We start from the raw sequence: 19,395 nt of genomic DNA, 5'->3' as shown, positions 1-19,395 counted from the left end.
GGTGGTTCCACAGCTGGGTTTGGATCTTACTTCTGTTATCTGCTTACCATGAGAACATGGGCAAGAGCCTTCGCCTCCATGCCCCAGTTCCATCGTCTGTAGAATAGACCATCACGGAGCCTGTATCCTAGAAAGGCTTAAATGAGTTCATGAGTCTCAAGACCTTAGAATAGTTAGTCTGGCACCGACGGAGTTCCAGAGCAATTATTATTCATACAGGCTTTCCAGAATTAAAGCAGGACTGTTATGGGATGAATTGTGTGTCCCACCCCCACCAAAAGATGTGGCCATTGTAACCCCCAGTGCCTGTGAATGTGACCTTGCATGGAAATAAGGTCTTTACCAATGTCATCAAGTGAAGATGAGGTCACTCGTGTGGACCCTAATCCACAATGACTAGTGTCCTTATGAAAAGGAGAGATTTCGCCGGGCGCAGTGGCTCACGCCTGTACTCCCAGCACTTTGGGAGGCCGAGGCAGGTGGATCACAAAGTCAAGAGATTGATACCATCCTGACCAACATGGTGAAACCTCATCTCTACTAAAAATACAAAAATTAGCTGGGCATGGTGGCACACACCTATAGTCCCAGCTACTCGGGAGGCTGAGGCAGGAGAACCGCTTGAACCCAGGAGGTGGAGCTTGCAGTGAGCCAAATCATGCCACTGCACTCCAGCCTGGTGACAGAGTGAAGACTCTGTCTCAAAAAAAAAAAAAAAAAAAAAAAAAAAAGGAAAGAAAAGGGGGGATTTAGGGGAGGGAGAGCATTATGACAAATACCTAATGCATGCAGGGCTTAATACCTAGGTGACGGGTTGATTGGTGCAGCAAACCAGCATGGCACATGTATACCTATGTAATAAACCTGCATGTTCAGCACATGTATCCCAGATTTGAAATAAAATTCTTTTAAAAAAGGGGGGGGGATTTAAAGACAGAGACAGGCATGTATACAGAGAGGAAACCATGTGAACATGGAAGCAGGGATTGGGGTGAGGCTCTACTGACCAAGGGCCGCCAAACTATTGCCAGCAAACCACCAGTCATCCGAAAGAAGACCTTGATAGCAGAAGGATCCTGTTCAGAATTCTGTGTTGCATTCAGTCGTAGCTTTTTTTTTTTTTTTTTTTTTTTTTTGGACAGAGTTTTGCTCTTGTTGCCCAGGCTGGAGTGCAATGGCACGATCTTGGGCTCACTGCAACCTCCGCCTCCTGGGTTTAAGCGATTCTGCTGCCTCAGCCTCCCGAGTAGCAGGGATTACAGGCATGTGCCACCATGCCGGGCTAATTTTTTTGTATTTTTAGTAGAGACGGGGTTTCTCCACGTTGGTTAGGCTGGTCTCGAACTCCTGACCTCAGGTGATCTGCCCACCTCAGCCTCCCAAATTGCTGGGATTACAGGTGTGAGCCATCGCGCCCAGCCTCGGCCATGTCTTCTTAGTCTCCTCCAATCTCGAACGGTTCCTCAATCTTTCCTTGATTTTCATGACCTTGACATTTTTGAAGCTTACAGGCCAGTTATTTTGTAAACCATCCCTCCATGTGGGTTCGTCTGACGTCTGATTATGATGAGATTCAGGAATCTTACAGAAGCGATGCTGTTCTCGTGACATCCTGTCAGGTGGTGTGAAATTCCAACTTGTCACATTACTGATGATGTCCACTTTCATTGACTAAGATGGTGTTTGCCACGTTTCTCCACTATAACGTAACTCCTTTGAAATTGGTATTTTGTAGGGAGGTATTTTGAGCTCTGTAAATATCAAACTTCTCACTTAGCTTTTTATTTATCTGAGTATGGACTCCTGGTTTCTTCTGTGGTCCTGTATAATTTGTTACTATCATTATTTATTTTGACTCTCAAACTGCCCAGTATGGCCAATGGAGCTTCTTCAAGCAGACTCCTGTGTTCTTTCCACATGTTCTCACAACACTTTGAGCAATTTCTTGCTTTAAGCATAGGACGTTTGTAGGCTCATCTTGTTCTTTTTTTGCTCTAGACATGGAATCAGCCAAATTTCCTAGGCACTCTGGTTCCATTTGGTGGAGAATGGTATATAGAAGTCAAGATTTGGATGCTAGTGGTGCTCATTCATATGGGCCATCATTGTTTCTATGTTCTCTTAGTGGAGAGAGCTAGAGAATATGTGTACAAATGTTCCTATACACACTGAAACTATGTGTTTATTTTTATCTCTCTATGTATAATTGAGATCCATGAGGACATACCAACGCCTCCAGTTATAGTCCAACACCACAGGGCTCATTCGACTTTCCTCCTTTCTGTCTTAGTAACTCCCTTTTCCAACAGTAGGAGACCTGGCCCCCATTCCCCTTACTCACTGTGTGTAGCCAATTTCCCTTTTCCTTTGCCATTTCACCCCTGTGGGGATGTCTTTCCCAGCCTAGTCTGGCTTCAACACCATACACCATGCTATTCCCATGAGTGGACATTTCTCTCTCTGCTTGGGTTATGACAACCCATGCCAGATCCCCTCTATGTGGCCTCCTTCCTAATTGCCTTACAGTGCAAACCTCCACCCCAGACAATGCCTGCATATAAATGCCCCCGCCCCACTCAGCTCATGTTCCAACACTGCACACCAAGCTGCCCATCTGTGGATTTATCCCCACCATCTCCAGCCCCAACACCCTGGGTCATGCTGCCCCTCTATGTGGACTTCTCCTCACCCCACTACCCCACTGGAATGCTGGCTCTCCACGCCAGATGGCCCCCAGCCCCCTCCTCCCCTAACCCTACCTAGTGTGGAGTCGCAAAACCCCTTTGGGCTTTGACACCACCATAACTTCACACCCTCCCTGACACCCCCACCTTGCTTTTTCCCTCTAAATCATTCAGGAAAGACAGAAGGAAAGAGATGAACAGAGGAAGAGCAAATGCCATGCTCTTAGTCACCGTGTACGCCCACTTCCTGAAGTCCATGCTTGCATCCTGCTCACTCTCACACATTCCCGACTCACCCAGGAAAACTCCCTGAGGCCAGGGGTGCTGAGCTCTCCATCTCACTGCCCAGAGGCCAGTGTTGGAGTGACCCTTCACATGCTTGTTGGAACATTGAATAAATGATGCCGTCTGCTCTAATCCTCCATTTTCTTTTCTTTTTTTTCTTTTTTTTTCTTTTTTTCGAGACAGGGTCTCACTATGTCAGCCAGGCTGGAGTACAATGGTGCAATCGTAGTTCACTGCAGCCTGGAGTGCAATGGTACAATCATAGCTCACTGCAGCCTTGAACTCCTGGGCTCAAGCAATCCTCCCATCTCTGCCTTTGGAGCAGCTGGGACTACAGGTGTGTGCCACCATGCACGGCTAATTTTTTTATTTTTTGTAAAGACAGCCTCTCCGTATGTTGCTCAGCTGGTCTCAAACTCCTGGGCTCAAGCAATCCTCCCACCTCAGCCTCCCAAAGCGCTGGGACTACAGACATGAGCACCACATCCAGCCTCTAATCCCCATTTATAAAATGCACTTTCCAATTCCACTCTGGGGATAAAGGCGTCACAGAACCTGACTCTGCATTTCCCCACCCATATCATTCAAGCCAGATGGGGAGGCAGGGACAGCTCTGGTCCCTCCCCAACCCGGGTAGAGATTTCCAGCCCAGCTGTCACAGCTCTAAGACACCGGGACCGAAGGAGAAGCCAAGAGAGGCAGGAAGAGGTGGCAAAGGAGTGCTGGAGAAGATAAGGAGGCTGAGCTCCGACAGGGAGCAGGGAGGAGGGGCCATCTTGAGACTGGTGCCCTGCGAGCTCCACCCCACCCCTCCATGCAGTTCCCCATGGGCCCCGCCTGCATCTTCTTGAGGAAAGGCATTGCTGAGAAACAGCGGGTGAGGTGGGGAGTGAGGGGGAAGGGCGGTGGGCGGGGCAAAGGGAGCAGGGGTGTGGGACAAAGAAGGGGACATGATGGTGCCACAGAACCAGGGGAACAGGTGGATAGAGCAGGAGCTGAGAAGGTATAAGAAATTCCAAGGACCCTGGTGGGGTCATGTAAGCCAGTGAGATAAATGGGTGGGGGTAAAATCAAAAGTCAGGAGCAAAGAGAAGGAGAGAAAAGGAAGAAAAATGAAAAGGGAAAGTGGGATGATGTCATTGTTGAGATTACCATCATTCTTTTCTATGGATGCTCATTGTGATAATGGTGGTGATGATGGTGGTGGTGGTGATGATAATGATGACGTTAATAACAATAGCTGCCACTTATTAAGTCATTGTTCTGTGCCCAGCCCTGTGCAAAGGGATTTGCACACCTGATGTTATTTACACCTCAGAACAACTCATGAGGTCAGTGACTTTCATTCCCATTTTACAGGTGAGGAAAGTGAAGCTCTGAGTCATGAAGTCATTTGCCTTAAGCTTACACAGTTAGTAAGTGGCAGGGTCGGCCAAGTATAGTGGCTCATGCCTGAATCGCAGCATCTTGGGAGGCAGAGGCGGGAGGATCACTTATGTCCAGGAGTTTGAGACCAGCCTGGGAAACACAAGACCCCATCTCTACTAAAAATACAAAAAAATAGCTCAGCATGGTGGCATGCATCTGCAGTCCCAGCTACTCAGGTGGCTGAGGCAGGAGGATCGCTTGAGCCCAGGAAGTGGAGGCTGCAGTGAGCCCTGATTATGCCACTGCACTCCAGCCTGGGCAACAAAGTGAGACTTTGTCTCGTTAAAAAAAAGTAAGTGGCAGGGTCGGGTTTGCTTGATTCCTGTGGGCATGCTTTTTAAAATTTTTTTATTTTTCCATATATACCAACTTGTCCAGATATGTGGGCATACTTTTCATTGTTAGGCTTTAAGATCACCAAAAAAAGAGAATAAAAAAGGCCAGGCAGTGGCTCACGCCTGTGATCCCAGCCCTTTGGGAGGCCAAAGCAGGTGGATCACGAGGTCAGGAGGTCAAGACCAGCCTGGCCAAGATGGTGAAACCCTGTCTCTATTAGAAATACAAAAATTAGCCGGGTGCAGTGGCAGGCGCCTGTAATCCCAGCTACTCGGGAGGCTGAGGCAGGAGAATCGCTTGAACCCGGGAGGCAGAGGTTGCAGTGAGCCGAGTTCGTGCCACTGCACTCCAGCTTGGGTGACAGAGCGAGACTGTGTCTCAAAAAAAAAAAAGAGAGAGAGAATGAAAAAAAGGGTGATAAGGGACCGCAAGGAGGGGATCAGATGAAAGAGAAGCTGAGGGAAAGGCTCCAGGGATAAAGGGAGATGGGAAGGCTAAAGAGACCAGAGGTCAGTAGAATTTCCTTGTTAACATGCCATGTATATGTAAGCCCAACCCTTCAGGTATGTGCAGGAGTAGGTGGGGCAGCAATAACTGGACATTCTCAGAGTGTTTAGGAACTGGTCATGCTGGCACTGACCCTCCTGCCTGAAAGCCATTGAATGCTGTTTCCATGCACAGAGATTCTAACCTTTGGCAGGAAGATTGGAGGCAGGTGAGAAAGGAGTGAATGGGGGCTAGTGTGAAGAATTCTGACTTGGGAGTCAGGAGCCCTGAATTCAAATCCCAATACTGTGTCTGACTTGCCCCATGACCTCCAGGGAGCAGGTGAATGCCTTCCTCCCTTGGGAGGGGATCTGCTGCTTGTGAGCTGTGTGACCTTGTGCAGGTTCCTTAACCTCTCTGTTCCTCAGCTTTCTCATGGGTAAGATGGAAACGAGATGTAGATCTGCATCACAGAGCAGTACTGAGGTTTAAATGAAATGATTGTGGAAACTGCCTGGCACAGAGTCACCACTCTGAATGAGTTAGCTGTGGTTGTGAAGTCTCACTTTTTTCATCTGGAGATTGGACTCCCCAGTGTTTAAGACCCCCTTTGACACAATGTGATGGGTGTTTGTCTCAGAAAGGGAGAAAAAGGGAGATTGGGATTCGTGGGTGGGAGAGAGACATCGAGAGGGGGGTGGGGAGCCAAGAACTGTGGAACAGGAGTCAGGAGATGGGAAAAGGAATGGGAGGGATGGAGGAGGAGAGAGAGAATGGAAAGAGAACCACGAGAGCGTGGGGAGGAGCTTGGGAGAACAAGGAGACCCTTTGGAGAATGGGTGACCCTCTCTCCAAATTCCCTCTCATCTGCATTCCTTTCCAGGAAAGACCACTGGGACAAGATGAGATTGAAGGTAACACCGTCTTCCCCAGTTGCTTCCACGTTGCCATCCACCCACCTGACCTGCCCTCAGTCCCTTTGTGCATTTCCGTATAAATTCCATTACATGGAATTTTTACAATCCCTCTCTCTTCCCACTCAACTGTAATTTTGTAGAACTCTTTCTCGTGGCAGTTGAAGGACTTCCCAAAGTATTTCGAAGGCATATCCATCCTCAAGTATCTCCAAGACTCAGGAGTGAAAACAAATGAGTTTCTCTCTTGGTGACTTTGAGGTTCCCCATAACTTCATCCAGGAATCTGAAGGACGCCAGTGCTCTCATTTAGTGGTCTCAGGAATGATGCCTCTTTTGCTAACACATTTCATACATCACTCCTTTTTGAATTTTTTTTTCTTTTTTGAGACAGAGTTTTGCTCTTGTTGCCAGGCTGGAGTGCAATGGCACGATCTCCTCTCACTGCTACCTCCGCCTCCCAGGTTCAAGCGATTCTTCTGCCTTGGCTGAGGCAGCCTCCCTAGTAGCTGGGATCAAAGGCATGAGCCACCATGCCCAGCTAATTTTTTTGTATTTAGTAGAGATGGGGTTCTGCCATGTTGGTCAGTCTGGCCTCAAACTCCTCACCTCAGGTGATCCACCCACCTCGACCTCCCAAAGTGCTGGGATTACAGCCATGAGCCACCACATCCGGCCTTGGTTTTTTTGTTTTGTTTTGTTTTGTTTCTAATGTACGCTCCTTTAAGGAGTCTCTAGTTGGAGCCTCATTGATAGCTTCAAGAGATGCCACTCTTCCCCACTGACTGCTTCAAGTTCCCCCAAAGTTCTCTCTTAACTTTCAGAGCTGCGGGAAGCATTTCTTGAGTTCGATAAGGACCGAGATGGGTTCATCTCTTGTAAGGATCTGGGGAATCTCATGAGGACGATGGGTTACATGCCCACGGAGATGGAACTGATTGAGCTCGGCCAGCAAATCCGCATGAACCGTGAGTCCAGGGAATGGGAGGGATGGCCGGGGTTAGGGAAGGGATCAGGGCAGAATTGGGAAGGATGTAGAGGTTAAGAGTAGAGTTGGGGGTGGAGAGGAGGATGAGAGGGACTAGAAGTCTGGAAGAAAACAGGTCAGATTCGACTCAGGAAGGCAGCATTTGAAGTGGTTAAAAGCTTTTAGAGATAGGTCTGGGTTCAAATCTCAGTTCTATTATTTACTAATTACAGTCATTTTGAAAAGTGAAGTTATCCGCTACTCTTCAGTTTCCATTTCCTCATCTATAGAGGAAGATGCCTCTCTCCTTACCTCATGGGACTGTGGAAAGGAAGAGAAGGAAGAGATAAAGATGCTGATGCAGTTAAAGTCTTAGCCTCCAGTAAATTCTTATTAAAGGTAGTTATTACTATCACCACTAAGATTCATCAGTGGAGCACGAGATTGGAGCTGTATTGGATGTTGGAAACAAACTTGGAGCTGGAGCTAATGTTGGTGAATACAGCTGCAAAAAGGATGGATGGATTTTTGGATGGAGATCATAACTGATTTTTAGATTTTAGCTAGAATAAAATTCCTATTGAGGCTGGGCGCAGTGTCTCACACCTGTAACCTGTAATTCCAGCACTCTGGGAGGCTGAGGTGGGCAGATCACCTGAGGTTAGGGGTTTGTGAACAGCATGGGCAACATGGTGACACCCCGTCTCTACTAAAAATACAAAAAATTAGCCAGGCGTGATGGCGTGCACCTGTAATCCCAGCTACTCGGGAGGCTAAGGTACGAGAATCGCTTGAACCCGGGAGGCAGAGGTTGCAGTGAGCCGAGATCGCACCATTGCACTCCAGCCTTGGCAACAGAGTGGGACTCTGTCTCAAAAAAAAAAAAAAAAAAAAAAAAAAAAGCTATTGGGTTTGCTTCTGGGCATGTAACGAACTAAACAAGGTTGAATTCAAGGTAATGATAGTATTCATATCTGAAAAAAAAATTGTATGCTCATTTAATTCATGCTCCTCTTTGTACAGGTCTACAGAGGAGGAGAAACATCTTAACCAACTGTCTGAAAGTCACACAGGCAGTTACTTCCACCATACCACACCCTATCCACTCCTGTTCAGGCTAGAGGGACATGAGTTTGGAGCTTGGAGTTAGCTGCTGGAGGGAGGAAGTCAAAGACGGCTCTTATAGGGCAGGGAGAAGGGAGCTGATCTAACTGACTCGAAGCACAAAGTGAGGTAATGGAAGGCCAGGGCTTGTGGGGTCTCGCTAATCCTGTGCCATCTTCCTCAGTGGGTGGCCGTGTAGACTTTGATGACTTTGTGGAGCTGATGACCCCCAAATTGCTTGCAGAAACAGCTGGGATGATCGGTGTCCAGGAGATGCGGGATGCCTTCAAGGAGGTGAGTTAACAGTGTCATGGTGCTGGTGATGGTAGAGGCAGACCCTCTGAGGTCTGCCTGTAATTAGCCAATGCCATGGACAGCACCCACCAACCAGGCCCCCACCTTTTTTTTTCCAGCCATGGTGGGATCAATAAATAGGGAAGAAAAATAACGTATTCCAAACACCTGCAATGGATCAATGCCTCTGTATACTTTATCTGATTTAATCCTCAAAAAAACAAACAAACAAAAACAAAAACACGCACACAAACACATTAGGAGTAAGCAAGCAGTCATGTATCCCAATTAAACAGATGAGAAAAGTGAGGCTCATGAAGATTATAAATCTTATCCAAGATCCTGCCATCTCTAGAATAAATGTTAGGACTTTTTTTTTTTGAGACGGGGTTTCACTGTTGTCCCCAGGCTGGAGTGCAATGGTGCAATCTCGGCTCACTACAACCTCTGCCTCCCGGGTTCAAGCCAGTCTCCTGTCTCAGCCTCCTAAGTAACTGGGATTACAGGTGCGCGATACCACACCCAGCTAATTTTTGTATTTTTCGTAGAGACGGGGTTTCACCATGTTGACCAGGCTGGTCTCGAACTCCTGACCTCAAGTGATCCACCTGCCTCGGTCTCCCAAAGTGCTGGGATTACAGGCATGAGCCACCGTGCCTGGCCAGGGCCTCTATTCTTAGTGCCTGTAACAGGAAGAATCCAAGAATTTGAGATCCCAGAAGGGAATGCAAAGTGGTCATCTGGTACGAACCACTTGCTGCAGACATACTAAAAAATATCAGACCCAGTGAGAATAACAGACTTGCTTATATCCCCTGATAAAATACCTTCTCGTTCTGAGAGCTTTCAGCAACACAAGGTGAAAATAAAGAGTAGTAGAGTGTTTGGGAGCAAAGGATTTGGAACCAGGCAAACATGGGTTCAAATCCTAGGAGGCCTCCACCTATTGGCTGTGCAAGTGCCTCCCCCAGCTTCTTATAAAGATCTACAGCTGGCCGGGCTCAGTGGCTCACACCCATAATCCCAGCACTTTGGGAGGCCGATGCAGGTGGATCACAAGGTCAGGACTTTAAGACCAGCCTGGCCAAGATGCTGAAACCCCGTCTCTACTAAAAATGCAAAAAAATTTAGCCAGACATGGTGGTGGGCGCCTGTAATCCCAGCTACTTGGGAGGCTGAGGCAGGGAATTGCTTGAACCTGGGAGGCAGAGGTTGCAGTGAGCTGAGATCGCACCATTGCATTCCAGCCTGGGTTATAAGAGTGAAACTCCATCTCAAAACAAAAAGAAAAAGTTGTCTGGATTGAGAAGTGCTGTAAGTGTAACGTGAACACTGTATTAAGACTTAGTATGCTAATATAATTAGCATAACGTACTTGTATACTTAAGTAAACTTCTAGGCTAAGTATCCTAATTAAGCATGCTAAGCACCTACTAAGAACTTAGAACTTACTGCCTTATGAAATCCAGTGTGTATAAAAAGAATGCTACTTACATAGCTAAATTAATAATTTTTAAGTGGATTACATGATGAAAGGATAACACTTTAGATATATTGTGTCAAATAAAAGAGAATATTAAAAATTAGTTTCATTTGTTCCTTTTAACATTTTTTTAAACGTCACTACTAGAAAATTTTAAGGCCAGGTGCAGTGGCTCATGCCTGTAATCCCAGCACTTTGGGAGGCTGAGGTGGGTGGATCACCTGAGGTCGGGAGTTTGAGACCAGCCTGACCAACATGGAGAAACCCCGTCTCTACTAAAAATACAAAATTAGCTAGGCGTGGTGGTACATGCGTGTAATCCCAAGTACTCAGGAGGCTGAGGCAGAAGAATCGCTTGAACCCGGGAGGCAGAGGTTGCAGTGAGCCAAGATCGCACCACTGCACTCCAGCCTGGGTAAAAAGAGCGAAACTCCACCTCAAAAAAAAAAAAAAAAAAAAAAAAAAGCTGAATAGTATTCCATTGTGTACTTATGCCATGTTTTCTTTATCCACTCTTCTGTTTTGATGGACACAGGTTGCTTCCATACCTTGGCTATTGTGAATAGTGCTGCCATGAGCAGGGGAGTGCAAACATCCCTTTGATATACTGATTTCAATTACTTTAGATACATACCCAGAAGTGGTATTGCTGGGTCATATGGCAGCTCTAGGTTTAATTTTCTAAGGAACCTCCATACCATTTTCCATAATAGCTGTGCTAATTTCCATACCCAGCAAAAGTGTACCAGGGTTCCCTTTTATCCACATCCTCACCAACACTTGTTATTATTCATCTTTTTAACAGTAGCCATCCTAACAGATGTGAGGTGATATTTCATTGTGGTTTTAATTTAAATTTCCCAAATGATTAGTGATGCTGAGCATTTTTTTCACGAACTTGTTTGCCATTTGTCTGTCTTCTTTAGAGAGATAGCTGTTCACGTCTTTTGCCCATTTGTCTTCTTTAGAGAGATGGCTGTTCACGTCTTTTGCCCATTTGTCCTCTTTAGAGAGATGGCTGTTCACGTCTTTTGCCCATAGTTATTAGATTGATGCAAAAGTAATTGTGATTTTGCCATTAAAAGCAATATTTGTCATTATGCAGTATTATTAATTATAGGCACAATGCCACACAGCAGATCTCTAGAACCTATCTTGCGTAACTGAAACTTTATACCCATGGTACAATATCTCCCCATTTCCCTGTCCTCCTAACCCCCAGCAACTATCCTTCTACTCTCTGCTTCTATGAGTGTGGTTATTTTAAGTACTTCATATGTAAGTGGAATCATGCAGTATTTCTCCTTCTGCGTGGTATATATTTAAATGCAATATTCAGCCTTACAAAAGAAGGAAATCCTGCCCCACACAACAACACAAATGAACCTGGAGGACAGTATGCTGGGTGAAATAAGCCAGGTACAGAAGACAAGTATTTCTAAGTGTCTTGCTTGCTGCTCCGTGCTCAGTCCCAAGAACGGTGCCTTCCACATGGGCACTACTGACACATTTTTTTTTAGCAATATGGATACATATGTGTTGAATTAATGAACTGCCTCCAAAGCTCTGCCCTGCACACCCTTAACTAGTCTACCAGAAAGTCTAGTACGTTCAATTTCCAAAACATCGGGGAGTGAACTCTCCTTCTTGAGCTCTGCTGGTGCTAACTGGCTCAAACCACAACCATCTCCTACCAGGATGATCATGGCGGCCCTCTAATTGGTTTCCTGGCTCCCATCGTGGTCCTACTGTGGTCTGTTCTCTACACAACAGGGTTTCATGCTCACATTCTTTTAAAATGTATATCAGATCTGGTCACTCCCCTGCTTAAAATTCTCCAGTGGCTTCTTGTCTTACTCAGAACCAAATCCTGACAACGTCCCATGACACACAAGCCCCTACGTACTTGGGCCCTGCCTTCTGCAACACTGAGACCTTGTCTATTTCATGCTCATTTCTCCCCAGCTCACGCCTCCCTAAACACTCCCCACTTCTGCCTCTTCCTCAAGTACACCTTCCTGCCTTACGGCACTTGTTAACTTGCAGCTTCCTCAGCCTACAGCTGTGTCATCCAAAATAAATACAATGTAAGCAGCATGGGTCATTTAAAATTTTCTTTCTCTTTTTTTGAGACAGTTTTGCTCTTGTTGCCCAGGCTGGAGTAGAATGGCACAATCTTGGCTCACCACAACCTCCACCTCCCAGGTTCAAGCGATTCTCCTGCCTCAGCCTCTCGAGTAGCCGGGACTACAGGCATGCGCCACCACGCCTGGCTAATTTTGTATTTTTAGTAAAGACGGAGTTTCTCCATGTTGGTCAGGCTGGTCTCGAACTCCTGACCTCAGGTGATCCACCCGCCTTGGCCTCCCAAAGTGCTGGGATTACAGGCATGAGCCACTGAGTCCGGCATATTCAGCTTTTAAAAAGAAGGAAACTCTATCATTTACAACAACATGAATAAACATGAAGCACATTATTCTAAGCTATATAAGCCAGGCACAAAAGGACAAATACCACATGATGTTACATGCAGAATCTTAAAAAATTGAACTCATGCAAATAAAAAGAAAGGTGGTTAGCAGAGGCTGGGGAGCCACAGAGAAGGAATGGACAGTTGCTTGTCAAAGGGTACAAAGTTTTGGTTAGACAGGAGGAATAACTTTTGAGATCTATTGCACAGCAGGATAACTATAGTAAATAATAATGTATGTTTCAAAAATCACCTAAAAAGTAAGTTTTAAATGTATCGCTGGGCACTTTGGCTCAGGACTGTAAGCCTAGCACTTTGGAAGGACAAGGTGGAAGGGTTGCTTAAGGCCAAGATTTTAAGACCAACCTGGCCAAAATAGTGAGACCCCGTCTCATTAAAAAAAAGTTTCGGCCGGGCACAGTGGCTCAAGCCTGTAATCTCAGCACTTTAGGAGGCTGAGGCAGGTGGATCAACTGAGGTCAGGAGTTCAAGATCAGCCTGGCCAACATGGTGAAACCCTGTCTCTACTAAAAATACAAATATTAAACAGGTTTGGTGGTGCGCGCCTGTAATCCCAGCTACTCGGGAGGCTGAGGGACGAGAATCGCTTGAATCCAGGAGGTGAAGGCTGCAGTGAGCTGAGATTGCACCACTGCACTTCAGCCTGGGTGACAGGGTGAGACTGTCTCAAATAAAAAAAAAAAAAAAAAGAAAGAAAAAAAGAAAAAAAAAAACAGAACAAAACTGTCTTTTGGAGCTGACGTTCTAGTGGCTCACATTCCCAAAGCTTTTATCTCAGTGCTTGACCCACAGTAAGCGATAGGTAAACTCCATCATCTCGTGGCTATCATCATTGTCATTGCTGATATAATCTATTTCTGCTTCTATTCAGTTTGACACGAATGGAGATGGGGAGATCACCCTGGTGGAGCTACAGCAGGCCATGCAGAGACTCCTGGGGGAGCGGCTCACCCCCCGGGAGATCTCTGAGGTTGTCCGGGAGGCTGATGTTAATGGAGACGGCACAGTTGACTTTGAAGGTGACATTGACGGGGCGTGGTGGGGAGCGGGGGCAGCCACCGCAGGAATCCACTTCCAACTCACTGTCAGATTTTCCAAGTTGGCCACTCCTTCTCACTCCTCTCCAAGTTTGAGAATGGAAGCGGGTGGCAGGTTTTGGAAGCATTTGTTCTGTCCCTTTCTTCCCAGGCTATTCATTTCAAAGAGCTGGGTGTCGCTCACTTCTGGTGGCTCCGAGGAACACCTCAGCCAAGGCCCTTTCCTTCCCATGCTCAGGACGCCCTTCCGCCTTGCCCATTCCTTGTTAGTTTGCAGGGCACCTTTTATCCTAGGAAGAACTTGTCCCATCAGAAAGAGACTGGACTGGCTAGCAGCTGGAGCTCTGGGGTCAGGTTCAGGGGCTTCAAATTCAGGATCATCGCTGACTCAGCATGTGGCTTATGCTACTCCCTTTTTCTCTTTAAGGGTCAGTTTTCCCATCTGTAAAATGAGGTGGATGATGACACCTTTTGGAGAAAACTAAAAGAAATCATGCACAAAGCACCACTGTATTTTTAAATTTTCCTTCCCTGTCTTTGCTCAAGTTGTCCTTCCGTCTGGAATACCCTTTCCCCTCTCCCCTGGCTAACTCCTAGTTATGTTCCTGGAAGGTACCTCCCACCTCTCTTACTGGGCTCCGTGTCCCTCTGCTGGCTCCCCAGTAATACCTCCCGCTTGCTTCTGCAGTAATACGGATTCGTGGCATCTCTAGAGTTTATTGCCTATTTCCTTCTGAGACCATGGACCAATTCCTTCATCATCACTATATCCCCAAATCCTAGCACTGAGCCCAGCATGAGTATATTGGATCACTGAATAAGTGAAAAGGATTGGGGTTCTACATGGATGAGACGTGGGGTTCTTTTTTATGTGAGGCATAGGAAGGCATGTCGGCCGGACATGGTGGCTCACGCCTGTAATCCCAGCACTTTGGGAGGCCGAGGCGAGTGGATCACCTGAGGTTAGTAGTTTGAGACCAGCCTGGCCAACATGGCGAAATCCTGTCTCTACTACGAATACAAAAAAATTAGCCGGAAGTGGTGGCAGGTGCCTGTAATCCCAGCTACTTGGGAGGCTGAGACAGGAGAATTGCTAGAACGCTGGGGGCGGAGGTTGCAGTGAGCTGAGATCGCGCCATTGCACTCCAGAGCAACACTCCGTCCAAAAAAAAAAAAAAAAAAGCATGTCAAGTTCTAATTGTGACATTCTTTGGTTCAAAGATCTCAGCACCTATCTGCTGCTTATGGACAAAAATCCAAAATTCTGGCCGGGCTCAGTGGCTCATGCCTGTAATTTCAGCACTTTGGGAAGCCAAGGTTGGCGGATCACCTGAGGTCAGGAGTTCGAGACCAGGGGGGCCAACGTGGTGAAACCCCATCTCTACTAAAAATATACAAATTAGCTAGGAGTGACAGTGCACGCCTGTAGTCCCAGGCTATACGGGGGCTGAGGCAGGAGAATTGCTTGAACCCAGGAGGTGGAGGCTGCAGTGAGCCGAGGTCACACCACTGCACTCCAGCCCGGGCAACAGTGAGACTCCATCTCAAAAAAAGAAAAAAAGAAAAAAAGGCCAGGCGCGTGGCTCACACCTGTAATCCTAGCACTTTGTGAAGCTAAGGCAGGCAGATTGCCTGAGCTCAGGAGTTCAAGACCAGACTGGGCAACACCGTGAAACCCATCTCTACTGAAATACAAAAAGTTAGCCAGGGGTGGTGGCATGTGCCTGTAGTCCCAGCTACTTGGGAGGCTGAGGCAGGAGAATTGCTTGAACTTGGGAGGCGGAGGTTGCAGTGAGATCGCCCCACTGCACTCCAGCCTGGGTGACAGAGCGAGACTCCGTCTCCAGAAAAAAAAAAAAAAAGTCCAAAATTATTTGTCTGATATGCAAGTCTATCCATCATCTGGCCTCGCCCACCCACCCAGCCTGTATCTTCTGTAGCTATTCTCTGAACTTTTAAGTTCTGGCACAAACTTGGTGCCTGCTTTATGTTCTCCAACCTCCGTTCCTAGGCATCAGATGCTCCGTCCACTTACCACATCTTTCAGTCTCATCCATCCCTCAGGAACTCACATCAAGGCAACCTTTGTCAGGAAGCTTCTCTCCATCCTTCCCTCATGTCTTCCTCCCAGCTGTGAAGTCTTACAGAAGTTTTTCTGTTCCTCTCCATGGAAGTTATCACAGCAGACCTTGCTGTGTTGAGTTGTATTAGCTTCCAAGGCCTCCATCCTAGATAGAGAGGAGGAAGGGCCATTCTCTAAACCATATATGCTGTATGTCCCAGTATGGAAACACAGTAGAGGCTGGTTGGACACCTGCTAGATCTAGCCAGGATTAGGTGTGCAGTGGACATCAAGTGACATCTGGAGAAGGTGGGGTGGGGGTGGGAGATGATCCTCAGGCCAACCAAAGGCAAGGGAAGGTCAGGATGACCTCAAGACCCGGGTGGGCAGCAAGATCGTCTTGAGCCACAGCAAAGTCAGGTGCAACCTGCATTCCTTCCAGGGTTCACCATTCACTATCCACGTGGCCTCAGGTATGTTGGTGACCCTCGCTGGCGTAAGTTTCCTTATCTGTAAAGTGACACTTATCCCTCCAGGATGGTTGAGATGATGAAATCTCATAGTGACAATCACAGGTTTTTTGGGTTTTGTTTTTTAGATGGAGTCTCACTCCGTCACCCAGGCTGCACTACAGTGGTGCAACCTTGGCTCACTGCAACCTCCACCTCCTGGGTTCAAGCAATTCTCCTGCCTCAGCCTGTGGAGTAGCTGGGATTACAGGCGCCCGCCACCACGCCTAGCTAATTTTTGTATTTTTAGTAGAGACGGGGTTTCACCATGTTAGCCAGGCCAGTCTCAAACTCTTGACCTCAAGTGATCCACCCTCCCTGACGTCCCAAAGTGCTGGGATTACAGTTATGAGCCACCGCGCCCGGCCAACAATAGCTGTTTATGGGATACTTAATCTGTTTTGTGAGCATTATGCCATTAATGGTCTTAAAAACCATATAAGGAAATAGCAATACTAGGATTCCCATTTTTTAAATTTAATGTTTTATTTACATGCAAGATTATTTTCATAACAGAAATGAAGAAACTGCAACATACTGAAATTAGTCTTTCAGAAGTAGGAGCATAATAATAACCACAGTAGTTTACATGGGGTGACTGTGATGGCAGGCACGGTTCTGAGCAAATTTTATTTACCTATTTAATTTTTTAATTTTTTTGTAGAGTTGGGGGTGTCGCTATGTTGCCCAGGCTGGTCTCGAACTCCTGGGCTCAAGCGATCTGCCCACCTCGGCCTCCCAAAGTTCTGGGATTACAGGCGTGAGCCACCGAGCCCAGCCTGTAAGCCAATTTTATCTCAACCTCATGAGGTAGATCTATTAAACATGCCAACTTGACAGATGAGAAACTGAGGCACAGGGTTAAGTAACTTGCCACAGAGATCTGATTCCCATTTCATAGATGGAGAAATGGAAGCATAGAGGGATTAAGTAATTTCCCAGGGATCACCAGCAGTGCCTGCCACATAGGAAGGGCTCAAAAAATAATGTTGGGGGCTTTTACAACGAGATGCCTTACTGGGGATTTTTTTTTTTCTTTGCAGAGTTTGTGAAGATGATGTCTCGCTGAGGAGGTCCTGGAAGCTCCAGACCCTCTCCACCTGGTCAACATGGAGCAAGCGCTTGTGGAGAACCAAAGCCCAAAAGCCCCAGATCCCCTTAAAGCAGAGAGGGAGGGCAGGCGGGAGGGAGGGCATTGGCATGCGGCGCTGTGCATGGGGTGAGACCCAGAGCGGTATCTTTGCCAGGATGGGGGCGTCTGCAGAACTAGATTAAGAAGGAAGAGTCTGTGGATGGAAATAGGAAGCGTGGGAGGGTCCAGTTGCCACCCCCAAAAATTCCAATGATTCTTGACATCTTTTCACTTCACGTAGTCCTAAGTCCCTGTGACCTGCCAGAGTCTCTTCCCCAGCTTCCCCTTGGGTGAAAATAGTCTCTTCTCCTGTTGGGTATCAAAAGGTTCAGAACGTAGTCTCTACTCTTCCCCTGCCTGCATCAACTGTTGCAAATCCCGTTTCTCTCTCCCGGTAAGGGGACAAATTATACTTTATTCAGGTGATGGTTACATGAACAGCCCAGACTTCACCACTACGCAATATATCCATGTAACAAAACCGCACTTGTACTCCCTAAATCTATAGAAATACAAAATGAAATAAAAAGGATGCAAATCAGTCACAGAGCTGGAAACAGAGTTGTTGTTGAGGCTGGGCTTGGAAATGGCTCGTGCAAGTGGCATTCAAAGTCAACTCCTTCCTTTTCCTGATTTCCTGGAAGCACTGTCTGGTTTCTCTCTCTCTCTCTCTCTCTCTCTCTCTCTCTCTCTCTGTCTGTCTGTCTCTGTCTCCCCTCCCACATCCCTTCCTTTGTGTAAGATACTCAGGGGACTGAATTAAACCACAAATCTGGATTATCAAGGTTTAGAGCTAGCTGATCCTTGGGGAATTAATCCCCTGAAAAAATGTCATCATGCAAAGAGAGAGATGACAGGATCCCCCAAATCCCCAGTTCAGCCAGGTTGTTGCAAAGTCTTTCCTAGAAGCCTCCTACCTCCGCGCTGGTCTGTCCTGGACCACCCAGAGGCTGTGTCTCTGTTAGATGGGTCGTCTGTTCCGTCCCTCACGTCCTGACATCGATCTGTGCCATGAAACAGAAAAGAGAGATTCCTCCTGACCTCCGCCCAAAGCAAGACACTCCAGCAATGCAAAGGTTAAAATAAAAGTCAAAATAAAGAATTAACTTCATGCCTTCCTCCAACTTTTTCTTGCTTTGAAGTCCATGAATTAGATGTTTAAAATGAGTCATCTGGTTCAATAGCTTTGTTTTATTTTATTTTATTTTATTTTTGTATTTATGTATTATGTATGTATGCATGCATTTATTTATTTATTTTTGAGACAGAGTCTCACTCTGTCACCCAGACTGGAGTGCAGTGGCGCGAATTCGGCTCACTGCAACCTCCGCCTTCTGGGTTCAAGCGATTCTTACGCCTCAGCCTCCAGAGTAGCTGGGATTACAGGCGTGCACTCGTGTGCCACTATGCCTAGCTAATTTTTTTTTTTTTTTAAGTAGAGATGGGGTTTCACCATGTTGGCCAGGCTGTCTTGAACTGACCTCATGTGATCTGCCTGCCTCAGCCTCCCAAAGTGCTAAGATTACAGACGTGAGCCACTGCACCCAGCCTATTTATGTATTTATTTTTGAGACAGGGTCTCACTCTGTTGTCCAGGCTGGAGTGATCTCACCTCACTGCAACGTCTACCTCCCGGGCTCAAGCCATCCACCCACCTCAGCCTCACCCTCCTCAGCTGGGACCATAGGTGCATGCCACCATGCCTGGTTAATTTTTGTATTTTTTTTTTTGTAAAGACAGGGTTTTGCCATGTTGCCCAGGCTGGTTGCAAACTCCTGGGCTCAAGCTATCCACCCTTTTCAGCTCCCCCAAAGTGCTGAGATTACAGGTGTGAGCCACCACACCCAGCCAATAGCTTTGTTTTATAAAATAAAAAAATTAAGAAAAAGTGGAGCCCTTGGGGAAGCCGAGGAGGGAGGGTCACTTGAGGCTGGGAGTTCACAACCAGCCTGGCAACATGAGACCCTATCTCTACAAAAAAAAAAAAAAAAAAAAAGAAAGAAAGAAAAGAAAAAAAAAATAGCCAGGCATGGCAGTGTGTGCCTGTGATCCCAGCTACTCAAGAGACTGAGGCAGGAGGAAAGCTTGAACTCAGAAGTCAAGGTTACAGTGAACCAAGATGGCACCCTGCACTCAGCCTGGGTGACAGAGTGAGTCCCTGTCTCTAAAAAAGAAAAAGTGGA

At 46.8% G+C, this 19,395-nt stretch overlaps 1 protein-coding gene across 1 annotated transcript; it reads left to right on the top strand.

Annotated features, from left to right (window-relative positions):
• CABP5 (calcium binding protein 5) lies at window positions 3,627-18,323 on the top strand. Its single transcript, NM_019855.5, has 6 exons — window positions 3,627-3,846; window positions 6,103-6,133; window positions 6,958-7,101; window positions 8,389-8,498; window positions 13,344-13,491; window positions 17,124-18,323. Exons 1-6 carry the CDS (start codon window positions 3,784-3,786, stop codon window positions 17,147-17,149), a joined length of 522 nt encoding a protein of 173 aa, NP_062829.1. The 5' UTR covers window positions 3,627-3,783; the 3' UTR covers window positions 17,150-18,323.
• Window positions 18,324-19,395: the final 1,072 nt, after the last annotated feature.

This window comes from Homo sapiens, chromosome 19 (assembly GCF_000001405.40).
Source record: "Homo sapiens chromosome 19, GRCh38.p14 Primary Assembly".
NCBI lineage: Eukaryota > Metazoa > Chordata > Mammalia > Primates > Hominidae > Homo > Homo sapiens.
Note: the sequence above shows the minus strand (reverse complement) of the source record. Positions and strands in the feature narration are given on the sequence as shown.

What these genes read in the sequence shown, in the direction of transcription:
- CABP5 (NM_019855.5), top strand. Translation starts at nt 3,784, where the DNA reads ATGCAGTTCCCCATGGGCCCCGCCTGCATCTTCTTGAGGAAAGGCATT. An exon ending in GCATTGCTGAGAAACAGCGG is followed by an intron (nt 3,847 to 6,102) that starts GTGAGGTGGGGA and finishes ATTCCTTTCCAG; the next exon opens with GAAAGACCACTGGGACAAGA. An exon ending in CCAGCAAATCCGCATGAACC is followed by an intron (nt 7,102 to 8,388) that starts GTGAGTCCAGGG and finishes CATCTTCCTCAG; the next exon opens with TGGGTGGCCGTGTAGACTTT.